The sequence below is a fragment of the Homo sapiens genome, chromosome 19, assembly GCF_000001405.40.
Source record: "Homo sapiens chromosome 19, GRCh38.p14 Primary Assembly".
In the NCBI taxonomy this organism is placed as follows: Eukaryota; Metazoa; Chordata; class Mammalia; order Primates; family Hominidae; genus Homo; species Homo sapiens.
In genome coordinates this window covers 48,047,706-48,068,906 of record NC_000019.10, presented here as the reverse complement: position 1 = coordinate 48,068,906, position 21,201 = coordinate 48,047,706, and the positions used below count along the sequence as shown (strand labels likewise).

The window sequence follows — 21,201 nt, the reverse complement described above, 5'->3', positions numbered from 1 at the left end:
GCAGGAAGTCCAAGATCAAGGTGCCAGTGGGGTCAGTTTCTCCTGAGGCCTCTCTCCATGGCTTGCAGAGGGATGGCCGCCTTCTCACCGCATCCTCTCAGCCCAGCCTTTCCTCAGTGCACACGCATTCTTGGTATTCTTGGTGTCTTCCTTTTTTTCTTTTTTTTTTTTTTTTAGATACAAGGTCTCCCTTGTATCTAAATGATCTGAGTGATACAAGTGAGGCTGGAATGCCCAGGCTGGAGTGCAGTGGCACAATCATACATAGTTCACTTCAGCCTTGAACTACTGGGTTCAAGTGATCCTCCTGCCTCAGCCTTCTGAATAGCTGGGACCACAGGCATGCATTAATATGCCCAGCTAATTTGTTTATTTTATTTTATTTTTGTAAAGATGTGGTCTCGCTCTCTTGCCCAAGCTGGTCTCAAACTTCTGGGCTCAAGCAATCCTCCCACCTCGGCTTCCCTAAGTCCTGGGATTACTCTGGTGCCTGGCACTCTTTCTCTTCTCATAAAGACCCCAGTCCTATTGAATTAGGATCCCACTCTCATGACCTCAGTTATCCTGAATGACCCCCCCACTTTTTTTTTTTTTTTTTTTTTTGAGATGGAGTCTCGCTCCGTCATCAGGCTGGAGTTCAGTGGCACGATCTCGGCTCACTTCAGCCTCTGCCTCCCAGGTTCAAGCGATTCTCCTGCCTCAGCCTCCCCAGTAGCTGGGACTACAGGCATGCGCCACCACCACGCCCAGCTAATTTTTGTATTTTTAGTAGAGACAGGGTTTCACCATGTTGGCCAGGATGGTCTCGATCTCTTGATATGGTGATCCTTCTGCCTCGGCCTCCCAAAGTGCTGGGATGACTGGCGTGAGCCAACGCGCCGGCCCTGAATGACCTCTTTAAAAGTCCTGTCTCCAGATACAACCCCATGGGGGATGAGGGCTTCCACATATGACTTTGGTGGGGGCAGAAACCACTCAGTCTCCTGAACTCACCTTGGCTGTCTCGGCTTCTTTCCCTAGGCTCACTCAGTAACTTGATGGATTTTGTGAAGAAAACAGGCATTTGCGCTTCAAAGTGGGAATGGGGGACCACTCACAACTTCCTGTACAAACACGGTGAGAAGACCCTCTTCCCACCGCCCTGGTCTGTCCTTGCGTGTGAATGGGCTGGAGTAGGGGAAGGGGGTGGGCCTGAAACAATCCCAGGCTGGTCCTTCCCCAGAGCTTTGGAGGGGGGTGGTGTCAAAGGGCCCAGGGATCTGATTAGGGGAACTTTCGCTCAGTGGTGTGGTCCATACTGAAAAATGTGTGGCCTCGCTGCGAGTCCCAGTCATCGTGAAAAGCCTCACTGATGGCTTTCTCTGGTTTTGCAAAAATGCAAAAAACCCTAATTTCTTGTCAGCTAGTCCTAGGACCTGGTCTTCAAAAACACTTGTATGGGCTGGGCGCAGTGGCTCATGCCTGTAATCCCAGCACTTTGGGAGGCTGAGGCGGGCGGATCACTTGAGGTCAGGAGTTCAAGACTAGCTTGGCCAACATGGTAAAACCCTGTCCCTACTAAAAATACAAAAATTAGCCGGACAGGGTGGCGGGTGCCTGTAGTCCCAGCTACTCAGGAGGCTGAGGCAGGAGAATCGTTTGAACCCAGGAGGCAGAGGTTGCAGTGAGCCGCGATCATCCCACTGCACTCCAGCCTGGCAACAGAGCGAGACACCATCTAAAAAAAAAAAAAACAACACACATTTGTATGGGTTTTCCCTTCAGGGGACTGACCCTCTCATTCAGGTGGAATTGATGTCAGACTCCTGGGAACTCACACTGAGGCCATTTAATAGTCTCCATAAGCTCCAATGTTCATAGCTGGTGGAGATCCTCTCCTATGACCATGCCAATCCCTGCACCACTCATGTATGTGTATGTGTGTGTGTGTGTGTGTGTGTGTGTGTGTCTTGCTCTGTTGCCCAGGTGGGAATGCAGTGGTGCAATCATGGCTCACTGCAGCCTCAGCCTCCCCAGCTCAAGCAATCCTCCCATTTCAGCCTCCCGAATAGCTGGGAACACAGGCACACAGCACCATGCCTGGCTAATTTTTCTTTTTCTTTTTCATAGAGATGGGGTCTCACTATGTTGCCCAGACTGATCTTGAACCCCTGGGCTCAAGCGATCCTCCCACCTCAGCCTCCCAAAGTGCTGGGATTACAGGTGTGAGCCACCCCACACCTGGCCTTCCCCACTCTTTTGTTACAAGACTATCGTGAACATCTTTATGTTTGTGGTCCTGTTGCCCTTGTGCAAATCGAGAAAAGGTGCATCTTCCAGGGGGGTGAATTCCAAAATGTGCCCCCCTGGCCAGGGCTGTGTGTGGCCTGGGAAGGGAACCCTGGCTGGATGTCAGTCCTGCTCACCTCTCCTGGGGTGCTTCCTACAAGGCACACAGGACTTCAGCTGTGTCTGCGCACCATGCCATGCAGCTGCCGGGTCTTATGGCCTCGGAATACACCATCAAGCATCAAGTCACTGGATCATGGCGATGAGTGTTTTAGCATCAAATTTCTCCCTGAAGGGGTTGGATGAAGTCGCTTTCTCAGTAGCAATATATGAGAGTGTAAACCAAAAATAAAATTCTAAGCCCCCCACCACCCAACCATCTGAATAGACCTCTCCTGTCAGCCAGGGCACTCCAAAGTTAACCTGAAAAATGGGTTCAGTCCCTGATGGGAAGTGGGGGTCGGACATGCCTCCTTATACCCTCCTCCCTTTTGGAATTCAGGAAAAGCTGACTAGCAGTCATGTCAACACAAATTTTTTTTTTTTTTTTTGAGATGGAGTTTTGCTCTTTTTGCCCAGGCTGGAGTGCAATGGCGCGATCTCAGCTCACCGCAACCTCCGCCTCCTGGGTTTAAGCGATTCTCCTGCCTCCCGAGTAGCTGGGATTACAGGCATGCGCCACCACGCCTGGCTAATTTTGTATTTTTAGTAGAGACAGGGTTTCTCCATGTTGGTCAGGCTGGTCTCAAACTCCTGACCTCGTGATCTACCCACCTTGGCCTCCCAAAGTGTTGGGATTACAGGCGTGAGCCACCTCAACACAGATTTTAAGTCTGATAAGAAACATTTACATTCTGTTCTCTCTGAAGCCTGCTACCTGGAGGCATCATATACGTGATAAAACTTTGGTCTCCACAACCCCTTGTCATAACCCAGACATTCCTTTCTATTGCTAATAACTCTTTAAACCAATAGCCAATCAGATATTTTTATTTTATTTTCCATATATTTATTTATTAATTATTTTTATTTATTTATTTATTTATTTTGCGATGGAGTCTCGCTCTGTCACCCAGGCTGCAGTACAGTGGTACAATCTTGGCTCACTGCAACCACCACCTCAGCCTCCTGAGTAGCTGGGATTACAGGCACATGTCACCATGCTCAACTGATTTTTGTATTTTTAGTAGAGACAGGGTTTCACCACATTGGCTAGGCTGGTCTCAAACTCCTAACCTCAAATGATCTGCCCACCTTGGCCTCCCAAAGTGCTGGGATTATAGGTGCACAGGTGTGAGCCACTGTGCCCAACCGTCAATCAGAAAACTTTAAATCTACCTATAACCTGGAAGCCCCCCCCCGACCCCTCCTCACCCCTCACCTCTACCCCTCCATGACTTCAAGTCGTCTCACCTTTCTGGACCGAACCAAGGTATATCTTAGATATATTTGATTGATGTCTCATATCTCCCTAAAATGTATAAACCTAGGCTGTGCCCCAACCACCTAGGCCACATGTTCTCAGGATCTCCTGAGGACTGTGTCACGGGCCATTGGTCACTCACATTTGGCTCAGAATAAACCTCTTCAAATATTTTCCAGAGTTTGACTCTTTTCATCAGCAAGAGGAACCATTCCCAGAGGTACTGTCTTAGTCTGCTCAGGCTGCTGTGACAAAATCCCACAGACTGGGTGACTTAAACGACAGACATTTATTTTCTCACAGTTCTCAAGGCTGGAAGTCCAAAATCAAGTTGTCTGTGGGGTGAGTTCTTTCTGAGGACTCTCTCTGTGATTTGCAGACAGCCACCTTCTCATATCCTCGTATGGTCTTTGCTCCATGTGTGTCTCTGTTCTAATCCCCTCTTCTTAGAAGAGCACTAGTCATTCTATTGGAATGTTTCAAAGTTTTATCATGCAGATGTGTGAGAGGCATTGGAACCAGAGTGACTCTATCTTGAATGAGGGCTAGGAAAAATGAGGCTCAGCCTTGCTGGGCTGTATCCCCAGGAAGTTAGGCATTCCTAGCCTCTAGATGGTTATGGTTAAGGGAACAGATTCATAATGTTTACTAAACAGACTCAGACCCAGGAATGTCCTGATATCCTGATATCTTGAGAACAGACGCATTCCTAATTTTGCTTTAAAAATAATAATATAAGTTCTTGTAAAATATAGTAATTATGGTTTTTGGTTTTTTTTTTTTTTGAGACAGAGTTTTGCTCTTTGTTGCCCAGGCTAGAGTGCAGTGGCACAATCTCAGATTACTGCAACCTCCGCCTCCCGGGTTCAAGCGATTCTCCTGCCTCAGCCTCCCGAGTAGCTGAGATTACAGGCAGGTGCCACCACGCCTGGCTAATTTTTGTGTTTTTAGTAGAGACAGGATTTCACCATGTTGGTCAGGCTGGTCTTGAACTCCTGACCTCAGGTGATCCACCCACCTTGGCCTCCCAAAGTGCTGGGATTACAGGCGTGAGCCACCGTGCCCGGCCAAAATAGAGTAATTATGAAAATTAATCCTTTATCACAAATACTTGTAGCAGAGCACATCTCCCCATGTTTTTTTGTTGTTGTTGTTTTCCTATATATAACAAAAGGAGGAGGTGGTTGCATTTCTCCTCTTACTTTCCGTAACACCCTACTCTGTGGAGTAACGATTCTTTCACCCCTTTGCTTTCTTAACAGACTTGCTTTCGCTTTGCACTGTGGACTCACCCTGAATTCTTTCTTGTATGAGATCCAAGAACCCTTTCTTGGGGTCTGGATCAGGACCCCTTTCCAGTAACTGATGAAGGCTCCAGGTAGCAAGCTTCAGAGAGAATAGATTGTAAATGATTCTTGTCAGACTTAAGCTCTGGGTGGATATTAAATGCTGGTCAGCTTTCCTTAAATCCCCAAAGGGAGGAGGGCATCGTGAGGCATGTCTGACCCTCCCTTCCTGTCACGGCCAGAACTAGGTTTTCAGGTTAACTCTGGGGTGCCCTGGCCAAGAGGAAGGGTTCATTCAGATGGTTGGGGTGGTGTTGTGGGGGGGTAGGAGTTGGGGAGGGTGTTGGCGGGGGGACGGGAGGGATGGGGGTGGGGGGGAGGGGCTTATCATTTTATTTTTGGTTTACGCTGTGAAAGGAAAATAAATCTCGGGACCCCAAAATCACCAAGTTAAAGGGAAAAGTCAAGCTGGGAACTGCCCAGGGCAAACCTGCCTCCCATTCTATTCAAAGTCACCCTCTGCTCACTGAGATAAATGCGTATCTGATTGCCTCCAGTTGGAAAGGCTAATGGAAACTCTAAAGAATGTTGGCCGGCCCGTGGCTCACGCCTGTAATGCCAGCACTTTGGGAGGCAGAAGCGGGTAGATCACGAGGTCAGGAGTTCAAGACCAGCCTTGCCAAGATGGGGAAACCTTGTCTCTACTAGAAATACAAAAATTAGCTCAGCATGGTGGCGGGTGCCTGTAATCCCAGCTACTTGGGAGGCTGAGGCAGAGAATCACTTGAAGCCAGGAGGTGGAGGTTGCAGTGAGTGGAGATTGCGCCACTGCACTCCCGCCTGGGCAACAGAACGAGACTCCTTCTCAAAAAAAAAGAATGCAACCATTCACTTCTTATCTACCTGTGACCTGGAAGCCCCCTCCCTGCTTTGAGTTGTCCCACCTTTCCAGACCGAACCAGTGTTCATCTTACATATATTGACATCTCGGGTCTTCCTAAAATGTCTAAACCAAGCTGTGCCCCAACCGCCTTGGGCACATGTCATCATGACCTCCTGAGGCTGTGTCACGGTTGTGCATCCTTAACCTTGGCAAAATAAACTTTCTACACTGACCGAGACCTGTCTCAGAAACATTGGGTTAACAACACTCTCACATATTGCTGCTGAGAAGGCAGCTTCATTTGGAACTTCACGCCAAAAACCCCATTTTACCTTAATTACCTCTTTAAAGACCCTGTCTCCAAATACAGTCACATTCTGAGGTACTGGAGGTAAGAGCTTCAACATGTGTTTGTCTGTTTATTTGTTTATTTATTTGAGATAGAGTCTCGCTCTGTCACCCAGGCTGGAGTGCAGTGGCGCGATCTCAGCTCACTGCAACCTCCGGCTCATGGGTTCAAGTGATCCTCCTGCCTCAGCCTCCCAAGTAGCTGTGATTACAGGCACCCGCCACCACGCCTGGCTAATTTTGATATTTTTAGTAGAGACAGGGTTTCACTGTGTTGGCCAGGCTGATCTTGAACTCCTGACCTCAAGTGATCCACCTGCCTCAGCCCCCAAAGTGCTGGGATTTCAGGTGTGAGGCACCGCACCCAGCCAGGGCTTCAACATATGAATCTGGGAAGAGAGAGAAGTCAGCTCCTAGTTGGCAACCTCACAACTGCTGTCTACACTGACAACGATCATTTTCCCATCCCCCTCTCTGCCTTCCATTTCCAAGTCTTGCTTTCAGTCCCCAGAAGCAGCTGATCCTCTTTCTTCCTGGGCACCACAGGTGGCATCCGGGACAAGATAATGAGCAGCCGGAAGCACCTCCACCTGGTGGATGCTGGTTTAGCCATCAACACTCCCTTCCCACTCGTGCTGCCCCCGACGCGGGAGGTTCACCTCATCCTCTCCTTCGACTTCAGTGCCGGAGATCCTTTCGAGGTAATCGAGAAGGGCTTTGGGGCCGGTCCTGGGTGGGAGGTGGGCTGCGGCGAAGCTGACTTTGCGGAGGAACTGAGGACGCGGGCTGGGAAGCGGGCAATGGGGAGGTGCTGGCTGGGAAGTCCAGAGAGCCAAATCAACTCACCCATCGCTCCCGAAGCACCCGCGGTCGGCCACATCCAACGAACTTCTGATCCAAAGCCATCCCAGACCTTCCCGGGCCCCTCTTCCTGGCAGATGACTCTCCCCGCTTCTGCGTCCTGCCTGCCCATTCATACCAGTTTGAACTGCAACAGCCTAGCTCCTCACCTGTGCACCTCCTTCCCCGGGTGTGCACGTCTCCAGCCCCGAGCGCGTGTCTTCCTGCTCATCTGGGTTTCCTGGGCAAATAGTGGCCCTCAATAAATGTTTGCTGAGTGAGAACATATGCAAGTATATTTGTCTTAGTACATATTGCACCTTCCCAGTGGCCACTAGGATCCGTTCTCCCTGCCTTCATATCCCAGCTCTGCCACTTACCAGCTGTGTGGCCTGATCCAATGTGCGTAACTTCTGTGCATGTCGGTTTCCTCAGCTGTAAAATTGGGCTAACGATGGCTCCACCAGGAGTTGTTCTGTGGATTAAATTAATACTTGTTAATACATGTGAAGTGCTTAGCACAGTATCTGCCACTTACTGTGGGGTTTATAAACATTTTCCTCCCCTCCCTTCCCCTCCCCTCATGGCCTCCTTTCGAGACTGGGTCTTATGGTGTGATCATAGCTCACTGCAGCCTCAACCTCCTGGGCTCAAGCGATCCTCCCACCTCACCCTCCCAAGTAGCTGGGACTGCAGGCACACACCACCACACCAGGCTAGTTTTCTAAATTGTTTTAGAGACAGGGTCTTGCTATGTTGCCCAGGCTGGTCTTGAACTCCTGGCCTCAAGCGATTCTCCCACCACCCAAGGCTAGGATTACAGGCACAAGCCGCCCTGCCCAGCTATTTTATTAAAAAATATATACACCTACATAATATATAACTATATCTATTACATGATACATACCAATACATAGTAGTATATATAAAATAATCATGGTAAAACATATCATCTATTATATTTATGTGTAATGTAATATATATTTATATTCACACACTTCTATCAGTTTACATTCTGTAATATGAATTAGGAACATCCATCCTCCTCCCCATACCATGATCCAGAACCAACTTGTCACCATCTTTCTAGACCCTTGGCCCAGGAATACCCAGGCTTTCTGGTCTTAGGATTTCTGCTGAAATAAATATCCCAAGACAATATGATAAAGGTGGAATGAGATATCAAGGTCTTGGGAGTCCTTTTCTGCCAAATCTCTGCTGCATGACCCCGAGCGATAGGCTTAACCTCTGAACCTCAGTTTTCTCATCCTGAAAATGGGAATCACATCATCTGGCTCGCAGGAGATCTGCAGAGTCTCTGCACCATGCCTGGTCCATAGCTGGTGTTCTGGATTAACAACAATGCTTATCTGGTGATGATGAGAATAGCAAGAGTAATAGGAAGAAAACCGGCAGCATTTGTTAAACTTCAATCAAAGACGACTTCAGAGACCTAAGCTGTCCACTACAGTGGTTGCCGGCCACATGTGGCACTTGAGGACTTGAAATGTGCCTGGCCCAAGTTGAAGTGTGCTATGAAGATAAAATACACCTCGGATTTTAATGACCGAGTATGGAAAATGCATGTCAAAGACCTTATTCGTAATTGGTATATTGACATACTAGGCAGGGCTCTCCAGAGGGACAGAACCAATAGGATCTATGTCTAGATGAAAGGGAGTTTCAGGATCACAAGGTGGAGTCCTACAATAGGCCGTCTGCGAGCTGAGGAAGAAACAAACCAATAGTGGCTCAGTCCGAGTCCGAAAGCCTCAAAAGTAGGGAAGCCCAGCCAGGCCTGGTGGCTCACGCCTGTAATCTCAGCATTTTGGGAGGCCGAGGCGGGTGGATCAGAAGATCAGGAGTTCGAGACCAGCCTGGTCAACCTGGTGAAATCCCGTCTCTACTAAAAATACAAAAAAATTAGCTGGGCGTGGTGGCAGGTGCCTGTAATCCCAGCTACTCGGGAGGCTGAGGCAGGAGAATCACTTGAACCCAGGAGGCGGAGGTTGCAGTGAACCAAGATTGTGCCATTGCACTCCAGCCTGGTGAACAAGAGCAAAATTCCATCTCAAAAAAAAAAAAAAAAAAAAAGTAGGGAAGCCCACAGTGCAGCCTTCAGTCTGTAGCCAAAGGCCGTAGAGCCCCTGGCGAGCCACTGGTGTAAGTCTAAGGGTCCAAAGGCCAAAAAACCTGGAGTGTGATGTTCAAGGGCAGGAAGTATCCAGCACAGGAGAAAGATGAAAGCCAGAGGACCCAGCAAGCCAGCTTCTCCCACCTTCTTCTGTCTGCTTTGTTCTAGTCACACTGGCAGCCAATTGGAGGGTGTCCGCCCACACTGTGGGTGAGTCTTCCTCTCCTAGTCCACTGACTCAAATGTTCATCTCCTCTGACAGCACCCTCAGAGACACATCCGGAAACAATACCAGCTTTCCAGGCACCCTTCAATCAAGTCGACACCTAATATTCACCATCACAATTGATTACACATCGAGGCAATCACACTTTTGACATATTGCATGAGATGAAACTTTTTCCTACAAATTGGGTGGTTACAAAGTAATAAACAGAATTTTTTTTTTTTTTTTGAGACAGAGTCTCGCTCTATCACATAGGCTGGAGTGCAGTGGCACAATCTCGGCTCACTGCAACCTCCACCTCCTGGGTTCAAGCAATTCTCCTGCCTCAGCCTCCCGAGTAGCTGAGATTACAGGCATGCGCCACCACACCCAGCTAATTTTTGTATTTTTAGTAGAGACGGGGTTTCACCATGTTGGCCAGGCTGGTCTTGAACTCCTGACCTTGTGATCTGCCCGCCTCGGCCTCCCAAAGTGCAGGGATTACAGGCGTGAGCCACCACGCCCGGCCAATAAACAGAAATTTAAGCAAGACATATCTGTAACAATTTAACAGAACCTGATTGTCTAAGTTTTTTTTCATTTTTCTCAAATTCATCTTTAATTCTTTCCATGATGGGGCTTATAAGGAAACTAACCAACATGTAGCTACTATAGTTGAATGTCAAATCTTTTTTTTTTTTTTGAGATGGAGTCTTCTGTGTCGCCCAGGCTGGTGTGCTGTGGTGCGATCTTGGCTCACTGCAACCTTCGCCTCCCGGGTTCAAGTGATTCTCTTGCCTCAGCCTCCTGAGTAGCTGGGATTACAGGCGCCCGCCACCATGCCCGGCTAATTTCTGTATTTTTAGTAGAGACGGGGTTTTGCCATTTTGGCCAGGCTGGTCTTGAACTCCTGACCTCAGGTGATCCGCCCACCTCAGCCTTCCAAAGTGCTGGGATTATAGGCATGAGCCACTGTGCCCAGCTGAATGTCAAATCTTTAGAAGGTACTTATGACAGTAAATTCCTCTGTAATACAGGTATGAAGCACCTTCATGATATTTCTGTTTTATGTGTAGAAAAGTGGCTGGGTACGGTGGCTCACTCCTGTAATCTCAGTGCTTTGGGAGGCCAAGGTGGGAGGATCACTTGAGATCAGCAATTTGAGACCAGCCTGGGCAACATAGCAAGACCCCATCTCCACACAAATTTTTTTTTTTTTTGAGACGGAGTTTCGCTCTTGTTGCCCGGGCTGGAGTGCAATGGCACGATATCGGCTTGCCACAACCTCCACCTTCCAGGTTCAAGCGATTCTCCTGCCTCAGCCTCACAAGTAGCTAGGATTACAGGCATGCGCCACCACACCCAGCTAATTTTTGTATTTTTAGTAGAGATGGGATTGCTCCATGTTGGTCAGGCTGGTCTTGAACTCCCGACCTCAGGTGATCTGCCCACCTCAGCCTCCCAAAGTGCTGGGATTACAGGCGTGAGCCACCACACCCGGCCAAAAAAATTTTTTTTGATTAGCTGGGCATGGTGGCTCACGCCTGTAGTCCCAGCTACTTAGGAGGTTGAGATGGGATAACCTGAGTCTAGGAGCTTGAGGCTGCAGTGAGCCATGATTGCACCACTGCACTCCAGCCTGGGCGACACAGCAAGATCCTGTCTCTAAAGATAAGTATATGTAGAAAACTGTTAGACTCAAATATTCAACTCAATATAAAATAAGAAGAAGCCGGGTGCGGTGGCTCACACCTGTAATCCCAGCACTTTGGGAGGTAGAGGCAGGTGGATCACCTGAGGTCAGGTGTTTGAGACCAGCCTGGCCAACATGGCGAAACCCTGTCTCTACTAAAAATACAAAAATTAGCCAGGCATGGTGGCACGTGCCTGTAATCCCAGCTGCTAGTGGGGCTGAGGCAGGAGAATCGCTTGAATCTGGGAGGCGGAGGTTGCAATGAGCCAAGATCCCGCCACTGCACTCCAGCCTGGGCAACAGAGCGAGACTCTGTCAAAAAAAAAAAAAAAAAAAAAAAAAAGAAGAAGAAGAAGAAGAAGAAGAAGAAACACTTGTTGAGACTGCATCTCCTTTTGCTAATGAGTGGTTTCTAGTTGTAATATCACTCCTCTGAATAAAGAAGCCACCTTTGAGTACATAAGGAAAAATAACCACATGTTAAAAGGATAAGACATTACTCCGACATCTCTACTGGGCCATCTCTTCCTCTAACACTTCAGAAACTTAGAAATTTAAAATATTCTTACGTTAACTGCAAGAACAAGATAAAGGAGAAATGCCCTTTTTCTTGAGATCACAACTATGAAGTCATATGCTTATGCAACTTCTGCATTTGTGTGCAAAACACAAACACACTGATCTTTTTTTAACTTTTAAGTTCAGGGGTTCAAGTACAGGTTTGTTCCATAGGTAAACTTGTGTCCTGGGGATTTGTTGTACCGATTATTTCATCGCCCCAGTATTAAGCCTAGTACCCATTAGTTATTTCTGCTGACCCTCTCCTTCCTCCCGCTCTCCACCCAACACTAGGCCCCAGTGTGTGTTGTTCTCCTCTGTGTGTCCATGTGTTCTCATCATTCAGCTCCCACTTAGAAGTGAGAACATGCAGTATTTGGTTTTCTGTTCCTGGAAACACATTTATACATTTATCTTTTTTTTTTTTTTTTTTTTTGAGACAGAGTCTCGTTCTTGTTGCCCAGGCTGGAGTGCAGTGGTGCTATCTGGGCTCACTGCAATCTCTGCCTCCCATGTTCAAGCGATTCTCCTGTCTCAGCCTCCCAAGTAGCTAGGACTACAGGCATGTGCCACCATGCCCGGCTAATTTTTTGTAATTTTAGTAGAGATGGGGTTTCACTGTGTTAGCCAGGATGGTCTCGATCTCCTGACCTCGTGATCCACCCACCTCAGCCTCCCAAAGTGCTGGGATTATAGGCATGAGCCATGAGCCACCATGCCCAGCCTCTTTCTTGCTCTTGTCACCCAGGTTGGAGTGCAATGGCGCTATCTGGGCTCACTGCAACCTCTGCCTCCCGGGTTCAAGCGATTCTCCTGTCTCAGCCTCCCAAGTAGCTGGGATTACAGGCACCTGCTAACATGCCTGGCTAATTTTTGTATTTTTAGTAGAGACGGGGTTTCACCATGTTGGCCAGGTTGGTCTCAAACTCCTGACCTCAGGTGATCTGCCCGCCTTGGCCTCCCAAAGTGCTGGGATTACAGACATGAGCCACCACGCCTGGCCCGCATTGATCTTAATTCTCCTTGCTTAGTTTTGTCAGTCAGCTTGCAGGACTTAACAGATGCCTTTCTAAGACACAGAGACTGAGATGTGTTTTATGTAAGTTTAGTAACCTCAGTGCTACAGTAATGAGACATGCAGTGTCCTTTTGCTCTGGTTCAGGACAGCACGGAAGGAGGCCACAGGAAAGAGAATAAATGAAACTTGTTACAACTGAGAAACTACTTCTCATTAAGTTTCCCCATGGTGTCACCTTTATTTAATATTTATTTTTAAAATTAATTTCTCCTACTTCTTTTTACTTTCTTCAAGTGCAGCAAGTAGACAATTGAAAAGTACCTTTACGGCCGGGCGCGGTGGCTCATGCCTGTAATCCCAGCACTTTGGGAGACTGAGACGAGCGGATCACCTGAGGATCACCAACCTGACCAACATGGAGAAACCCTGTCTCTACTAAATATATGAAATTAGCCGGGCGTGGTGGAGCATGTCTGTAATCCCAGCTACTCGGGAGGCAGGAGAATCGCTTGGACCAGGGAGGCGGAGGTTGCAGTGAGCTGAGATCATGCCATTGCACTCCAGCCTGGGCAACAAGAGTGAAACTCTGCCTCAAAAATAAGAAAAGAAAAGTACCTTCACGGTGACATTATATTTCTGTTACACAGTGATGATGGAGAATATCTCATTTATCTTCCAAATACCCCTGTGAGGTGGCTATTACAGAGATCCTTTGCAGAGGTGATGAGATGCACCCATACCACATATCTCGTTGGGCTCCTGGGCTCAAATGATCTTCCCATCTCAGCTTCCTGAGTAGCTAGGGCTACAGGTGCACGCCCCCATGCCTGGCTAATTGAAATATATATATATATATATATACTGTAGAGATGAGGTCTCCAACATCTTTCTGTGGCAGAGCTGGGATTCAAAGCCTCATCTAGGCACCATTTTCCTTGCCCTCTGAGTCCCGCAGCCCCCAGCCCCAAAGGTTACTCTCTAACCTCGCGAATGTTGTCTCTAGGTGGGCTGGGGAGTGCGGGTGATGGCAGAGGCTTACTCTTTCCCTTACAGAAGATGTTGTCCCTGTCCAAGCTGACCCTTGCTCTGTTGTGTGTCTGGGCTGTTAGCTGAGGTCCCATTGGGTCTCCAGGCCCCAGGGGTCTTCTGGAGGGGTCTTCTGGAGAGGTCTTGCAACCATTTCTTATTGCCTCCTTCTCAGACCATCCGGGCTACCACTGACTACTGCCGCCGCCACAAGATCCCCTTTCCCCAAGTAGAAGAGGCTGAGCTGGATTTGTGGTCCAAGGCCCCCGCCAGCTGCTACATCCTGAAAGGAGAAACTGGACCAGTGGTGATGCATTTTCCCCTGTTCAACATAGATGCCTGTGGAGGTAGGTGCAGGGGAGGAGCAGGTGAGAAGCCACCTGTATTAGTCCATGCTCACACTGCTAATAAAAACATACCTGAGACTGGGTAATTTACAAAGGAAGAAGGTTTAATTGACTCACAGTTCAGCATGGATTGAGAGGCCTCAGGAAACTTACAGTCATGGTGGAAAGCGAAGGCCAAGCAAGTCACCTTCTTCACAAGGCGGCAGGAAGGAGAAGTGAGTGCCAGCAGGGCAATTGCCAGATGCTTATAAAATCATCAGATCAGCCGGGCGCGGTGGCTCATGCCTGTAATCCCAGCACTTTGGGAGGCTGAGGCGGGCGGATCACAAGGTCAGGAGATTGAGACCATCCTGGCTAACACAGTGAAACCCCATCTCTACTAAAAATACAACAACAAAAAAAAATAAATTGCTGGGCTTGGTGGTGCGTGCCTGTAATCCCAGCTACTCAGGAGGCTGAGGCAGGAGAATCGCTTGAACCTGGGAGGCGGAGGTTGCAGTGAGCTGAGATCGCGCTCCTGCACTCCAGCCTGGGGACAGAGCAAGACTCCTTCTCAAATAAATAAATAAATACATACCATCAGGTCTCGTGAGAACTCAACTCACTGTCACGAGAACAGCATGAGGGTAACCACTTCCATGCTTCAATTACCTCCCACGACACTTGGGGATTATGGGAACTACAATTCAAGATGAGATTTGGGTGGGGACACAGCCAAACCATATCACCACCAGGCCAGGCCGAATGGAGCTGTGCTGTGCCCTGGGGACATCTTGTTACGCTCCAACATCTGATGGTTGAGTGAGTCATCCTGTCCACCCTTGGGCCTGGAGGATGCCAGGCTGCCTCTCTCGGTCTTGCATGTTTATGCATGTTGCTGCCTCTCTCTGCAGCCTTCTTGTCCTACCTGAATATCCAACCCCTTCCACCTGGGCATCCCACATTCCTCATCCAGTCTCAGGTGAGCAGCTGCTTGGAAGGCCTAGCATCCAGGATGGGTGGTCCTCCGGGGCCTGATTGTGCCACTTCCCACAGTGGGCTCCTTTTAGCTTGTCAATCGTGTCTCCTGCGATGAGACTCCCATTAGGGATAAATTGTGTCTGTTTTCTTCCTTCATTTAACGAACATTTATTGGTTACCTATGCTGCATCAGCCATGGTTCCAGGAGAGGCAGGCTAGAGTAGTAAAGAAGACAGGAAGCAGGGGGCCAGGCGCGGTGGCTCACGCCTGTAATCCCAGCACTTTGGGACGCCAAGCCGGGGCAGATCACCTGAGATCAGGAGTTTAAGGCCAGCTTGGCCAACAGGGTGAAACCCCGTCTCTATTAAAAAATACAAAAAATTAGCCAAGCGTGGTGATGCACGCCTGTAATCCTAGCTACTTGGGAGGCTGAGGCAGGAGAATCGCTTGAATCTAGGAGGTGGAGGTTACAGTCACCCAAGATTGTGCCATTGGACTCCAGCCTGGGAGACAAGAGCGAGCCTCTGTCTCAAAAAAAAAAAAAAAAAAAAAAGAAAAAAGGACCGGAAGGGGCATGGATCATAAAAATATAGATAAATCCATAACCTCATGTGTCAATAAAACTTTATTTATAAAGCCAAAGTAGTGGGCCGACTGGATTTGGTCCACAACTGTAGTTTGCCAAGCCCTGATGTAAATAGACAAAAATCTGCAGAATTAATTGTCCAAACTCATGATGCCTTTTCTTTGTTGGTTTGGTTATGCTTCAGGTGATATTGAGGCATGGAGTGACACATACGACACATTCAAGCTTGCTGACACCTACACTCTAGATGTGGTGGTGCTACTCTTGGCATTAGCCAAGAAGAATGTCAGGGAAAACAAGAAGAAGATCCTTAGAGAGTTGATGAACGTGGCCGGGTAGGTGGGAGACCATAGTCGCTCTGATGCCTATGCTCGTTCAGTAAGTATCTGTTGGAGAACTTTCTCTGCAACAGGCAGGAGGGTTGCATGGGTGAAAAAAGATAGGCAGTGTCTCCCCTACTTGAGCTTGCGTCTCAGCAGGGGACAGACCATGAACAGGGTCAGGAGTGAATGGTTTTCTGAAGAGTGAAGCAGGCTGTGTTCGTTTGCTAGGGCTGCTGTAACAAAATACCACTAGCTGGGTGGCTTCACAGAAATTGATGGTCTCATGGTGCTGGGGGCTGGAAGTGTGAATTCATGGTATCAGCAGCGCTGGTTCCTTCTGGGATCTGTGAGGGAGAATTTGTTCCACGCTTGTCTCCGTGTATATTGGTCCGTTTTCACACTGCTGTAAAGAACTACCTGAGACTGGGTAATTGATGAAGAAAAGAGGTTTAATTGACTCACAGTTCCGAAGGCTTAACAGGAAGCATGGGTGGGAGGCCTCAGGAAACTTACAATCATGGTGGAAGGTGAAGGGGGAGCAAGCACATCTTTACCATGGCAGAGAAGGAGAGAGAGAGAGCAAAGCGGGAAGTGCTACACACTTTCAAACAACCGGATTTCATGAGAACTCCGTCACTATCACAAGAACAGCAAGGGGGAAGTACGCTCCCATCAATCACCTCTCACCAGGCCCCTACCCCAACACATGGGAATTACAATTTGAGATGAGATTTGGGTGGGGACACAGAGCCAAACCATATCTCTGTGAAAGGAAAATGAAATCTCAGGACCCCAATTCACTATGCCAAAAGGAAAAACTTAAGCTGTGGCTGGGCACTGTGGCTCATGTCTGTAATCCCAGCACTTTGGGAAGCCAAGACAGGAGGATCGCTTGAGCCCAGGAGTTCAAGATCTGCCTGGGCAACATAGTGAGACCAAGTCTCTACAAATAATTTTAAAAATTAGCTGGGTGTGGTAGCACAAGCCTATAGTCTCAGCTACTCAGGAGGCTGAGGTGGGAGGATTGCCGGAGCCCAGGAGTTTGAGGCTGCAGTGAGCTATGATGGTACCACCCCACTCCAGGCTGGGCGACAGAGCAAGACCTTGCCTCTAAAAAAAAAAAAAAAAAAAAAAAAATTAAGCTGAAAGCTTAATTAAGCTGAGTCATGCAAGAAACTGTCTTTCCTTTTGTTCCTAAGCCACAGATAAAAGGCCACAGATATCTCCACAGGTAACTTACTCTATCGATATGGTTTGGCTCTGTGTCCCCACCCAAATCTCATCTCGAATTGTAATCCCCACATGTCAAGAGAGGGACCTGGTGGGAGGTGATTGGATCTTGGGGGTGGCTTCCCTTATGCTGTTCTCGTGAGAGTGAGGGAGTTCTCACGAGATCTGATGGTTTTTAAGTGGCAGTTTCCCCTGCTCTCTCTCTCTCGATCTCTCTCTCTCATCTCTCCTGCCACCCTGTGAAGAAGGTGCCCTGCTTCCACCATGACTGTATTAGGTTGGTGCAAAAGTAATTGCGGTTTTGCAACTAAAAGTAATGGCAAAAACCACAACTACTTTTGCGCCAACCTGATAAGTTTCCTGAGGCCTCCCCAGCCACATGGAACTGTGAGTCAGTTAAACTTCTTTTGTTTATACGTTACCCAGTCTCAGGCAGTGTCTTTATCGCAGTGTGAGAATGGACTCATACAGTTCTAGAAGTCAGAAATCTGAAACGAGTGTTATGGAGCAAAACCCAAAGCGTTAGCAGGGCCAACTCCTGCGGAGGCTCCAGGGGAGAAGCTGTTCCTTGCCTTTTTCAGCTTCTAGGGGCCACCCGCATTCCTTGGCTCATGGCCCCTCCTTCAGCCTCTTGCTTCTATCATCTCATCTCCTCCTTGCTCTGACCTCCCGCCTTGCTCTTATAAGGAAAGATCCATGGGATTCCACTGGGCCCACCCAGATACCCAGGATCCTCTCCTCATCTCAGGATCCTTAGATTAATCTCATCTGCAGAGTCCCTTTTGCCATGGAAAGTCATGTACTGGCCAGGAGCCGTGGCTCACACCTGTAATCCCAGCACTTTGGGAGGCTAAGGCAGGCAGATCTCTTGAGCTCAGGAGTTCAGACCAGCCTGGGCAACATGGCAAGACACCATCTCTACTAAAAGTACAAAAAAATAGCAAGGCATGGTGGTGTATGCCTGTGGTCCCAGCTCCTTAGGAGGCTGAGGTAGGAGGATTGCTGAACCCTGGGGAGCAGAGGTTGCAGTGAGCCCAGATCACACCACTGCACTCCAGCTTCGATGACAGAGCGAGACCCTGTCTCAAAAAAAAAAAAAAAAAAAGTCACATACTCACAGGCTCTAGGGATTAGGATAGGGACATCATTAGGAGACATTATTCAACCTGCCACAAAGACACAGACACAACCAGATGACAGAAGCCAGGGGAAGAGTTGGAATATTATTCTGAATATGGTGGGAAGCTGCTGTTAAGTTTTGAGCAGGGAAGTAGCTTTATCTGAGTCACCTTTTCAAAGGCCCACCCTAGCTCCTGTGCGGTTGGTCCCTAGGTGAGATAATTAGCACCCTGAGGAGCAGTTTGGGTCAATGACCTCAGGGTCGCAAGGTAGAGGGAAGAGAAAGCCATTCTGGGCCTCTGGACCAGTCTATGTTCCCCAGAGAGTTTCCCCAAAAGCCCTGCCTGGCATGGGGCAGGGCGGTTATTTGCTGCTCATCTGTCTTCTAATGAGGGGTTGTATATTAGTTTGCTGGGGCTGCCATTAAAAAGTACCACAGAGGCCGGGCATGGTGGTTCACACCTGTAATCCCAGCACTTTGGGAGGCCGAGGTGGGCAGATCATGAGGTCAGGAGTTCGAGACCAACCTGGCCAACATGGTGAAGCCCCATTTCTACTAAAAATACAAAACTTAGATGGGCATGGTAGTGCACACTTGTAGTCCCAGTTACTTGGGAGGCTGAGGCAGGAGAATCGCTTGAACCCAGAAGGTGGAGGTTGCAGTGAGCCCAGATCATGCCACTGCACTCCAGCCTGCTGACAGAGGGAGATTCCGTCTCAAAGAAAAAAGTACCACAGATCAGGTGGCTTAAACAACCGACACTTATTGTCTCACAGTTCTGGAGGCTGGAAGTCCAAGATCAAGGTGTGAACAGGGGTGGTTTCTCCTGAGACCTCTCTCCTTGGCTTGCAGATGGTGCCTCCCTGTGTCTACACATGATTTTCCTCTGTGCCTGTCCACTCCCCACCTTCTCACCTGTAGAACTCAGGGCTTATTTATGCTTATTTGTTGACTCTCTCTCCTCATAATAAGGTGTGCAGCAGTGTGGGGTCAGGAACCACATCACTTTGCTCACCATGGTGTTCATTCTTTCATTCATTGATTCCACAAACATTTCCTGGATGCCTGCTAGATCCAGTCCGCCCAGGTCCTGCAGCCGTGGCTGCATACAGGTCAGATGAGGCTCTTGCTCTTGTAGAATGTACCTCCTCCCGGGGGGCAACATGACATAAACAGGTAAACAAAGAAGTCAACAGGATGGCCATGGAGAGTAAGTGCCATGGAGACGACCGAACGTGCGGTGTGCTGAGGAGTAAAGTGAAAGCTTTTTAGGAAAGGGTCTGGGGGTCTGGGAAGGCATCCTGAGGGAGAGACCTTTCACCTGGGGCTGAATACTGAGAAGGGGTGGCCATGAGGAAGTCTTGGGGAACAGAATTCTGTGCAAAGGAAAAGTAAATGCAAAGTGTCTGGAGTGGGAAAGACCTTGATCTGTGTCTTACCTATGTCTATAACATTCTGTACTAATATAAAGGCATATCTGAGGCTCGGTAATTTATAAAGGAAAGAGGTTTATTTGGCTCATGGTTCTGTAGGCTGTGCAAGAAGCATGGCGCCTGTATCTACTTCTGGTGAAGGCTTCAGAGAGCATCCAATCCTGGTGGAAGGGGAAGGGGGGCTGGCGTGTTACATGGTGAGAGAGAGCAAGAGAGAGAGAAGGGAGGAAAGCACCAGTTTCCTTTTAACAACCAGATCTCAAGTGAACTAATAGAGCAAGAACTCACTCATTACCGCAGGGAAGGCACCAACCCATTCATGAAGGATCCACTCCCATGATCCAAACATCTCCCTCTGGGCCCCACCTCCAACACTGGGGATCACATTTCAACATGAGATTTGGAGGGGACGAATTTCCAAACTATATCAGTCTATTCGAGGAACAGAAGGAAAGCTGTTATTGCTGGATCAGGGTAGGGGAAGCACGGAATGAAATGTGATTGGAGAGATGGACAGAGATCAGATCTTGTGAATTCTGGCAGGTATCATGACATTCGATGTAGGCCAAAGAGTTACCTCCTAGCCCAGCTCCTGATACATGCTTAATAAGCGTAGTGTTGGATAAATAAACGTTTACGTGGTAAAAGTAGATCACAAGAGCTCCACAGGAGGAGGTGGTGGAGCTCCAGGTCTTCTCAATGAATGAAAGAATGGATGAATGTCTTTCTCCTAAGTCATGTATGACCTGTAGAGGCTTCCAGGTCTTCTAATCTTATCCAGTGTGCAACACTGCCTACAAAGCACAGTGGTAACTTCTAACTTTCCTTTCTCCCCAGGCTCTACTACCCGAAGGATAGTGCCCGAAGTTGCTGCTTGGCATAGATGAGCCTCAGCTTCCAGGGCACTGTGGGCCTGTTGGTCTACTAGGGCCCTGATGTCCACCTGGCCTTCCTGTTCTTCACTCCCTTCAGCCACACGCTTCATGGCCTTGAGTTCACCTTGGCTGTCCTAACAGGGCCAATCACCAGTGACCAGCTAGACTGTGATTTTGATAGCGTCATTCAGAAGAAGGCGTCCAAGGAGCTGAAGGTGGTGAAATTTGTCCTGCAGGTCCCTCGGGAGATCCTGGAGCTGGAGCATGAGTGTCTGACAATCAGAAGCATCATGTCCAATGTCCAGATGGCCAGAATGAATGTGATAGTTCAGACCAATGCCTTCCACTGCTCCTTTATGACTGCACTTCTAGCCAGTAGCTCTGCACAAGTTAGCTCTGTAGAAGTAAGAACTTGGGCTTAAATCATGGGCTATCTCTCCACAGCCAAGTGGAGCTCTGAGAATACAACAAGTGCTCAATAAATGCTTGCTGATTGACTGATGGATTAGCTGTGTGTGTGTGTCTTGGTCTGCCACCACCCCTGCTGCGGCCCTTTTCACCCTCTGTGTACCCTTTACTTGTTCCTTTCTTCCCTTCCCCCTTTCCTTTCCATCTTCTTCCATCTATATCTCAGCAATTAAGCAT

At 48.5% G+C, this 21,201-nt stretch overlaps 1 protein-coding gene and 1 long non-coding RNA gene across 10 annotated transcripts in view, besides 3 other annotated features; one reads left to right on the top strand and one right to left on the bottom strand.

The window, feature by feature from the left end:
* Positions 1–21,061, top strand: part of PLA2G4C (phospholipase A2 group IVC) — a 62,972-nt gene extending 41,911 nt beyond the window's left edge. For 4 of the 7 annotated variants that reach the window (NM_001159322.2, XM_011527431.4, NM_003706.3 and 1 more), the window contains 5 exons: positions 1,021–1,116; positions 6,755–6,909; positions 13,858–14,029; positions 15,760–15,910; positions 20,519–21,061. In NM_001159322.2, coding sequence (NP_001152794.1) covers positions 1,021–1,116; positions 6,755–6,909; positions 13,858–14,029; positions 15,760–15,910; positions 20,519–20,564 — 620 coding nt within the window. In that variant the 3' untranslated portion in view covers positions 20,565–21,061. Of the gene's footprint in view, positions 1–1,020; positions 1,117–6,754; positions 6,910–7,069; positions 7,337–13,857; positions 14,030–15,759; positions 15,954–20,518 lie in introns of those variants that run through there. The other 3 variants (XM_047439584.1, XM_011527432.4, NM_001159323.2) reach the window with 2 other exon arrangements.
* Positions 3,962–7,536, bottom strand: PLA2G4C-AS1 (PLA2G4C antisense RNA 1). 3 transcript variants are annotated; one of them, NR_132363.1, is made up of 5 exons: positions 7,429–7,536; positions 7,219–7,289; positions 6,868–7,023; positions 4,984–5,077; positions 3,962–4,157 (listed from the first exon to the last, which is right to left on the bottom strand). It is a non-coding gene; the product is annotated as a PLA2G4C antisense RNA 1 (long non-coding RNA). The 3 variants fall into 3 exon arrangements; NR_132364.1 differs by lacking the exons at positions 3,962–4,157; positions 4,984–5,077 and having other exon boundaries at positions 6,652–6,994; NR_132365.1 differs by lacking the exons at positions 3,962–4,157; positions 4,984–5,077 and having other exon boundaries at positions 6,685–6,994; positions 7,219–7,321.
* Positions 5,775–6,367: an enhancer, noted in NCBI's record as "H3K27ac hESC enhancer chr19:48565797-48566389 (GRCh37/hg19 assembly coordinates)". NCBI's record gives its function as "activates a minimal SCP1, AML or CMV promoter by ChIP-STARR-seq in primed H9 embryonic stem cells {active_cell/tissue: H9 hESC(primed)}" and the evidence as "EXISTENCE:reporter gene assay evidence [ECO:0000049][PMID:30033119]".
* Positions 6,368–6,960: an enhancer, noted in NCBI's record as "OCT4-NANOG-H3K27ac-H3K4me1 hESC enhancer chr19:48565204-48565796 (GRCh37/hg19 assembly coordinates)". NCBI's record gives its function as "activates a minimal SCP1, AML or CMV promoter by ChIP-STARR-seq in naive and primed H9 embryonic stem cells {active_cell/tissue: H9 hESC(naive and primed)}" and the evidence as "EXISTENCE:reporter gene assay evidence [ECO:0000049][PMID:30033119]".
* Positions 6,961–7,554: an enhancer, noted in NCBI's record as "OCT4-NANOG-H3K27ac-H3K4me1 hESC enhancer chr19:48564610-48565203 (GRCh37/hg19 assembly coordinates)". NCBI's record gives its function as "activates a minimal SCP1, AML or CMV promoter by ChIP-STARR-seq in primed H9 embryonic stem cells {active_cell/tissue: H9 hESC(primed)}" and the evidence as "EXISTENCE:reporter gene assay evidence [ECO:0000049][PMID:30033119]".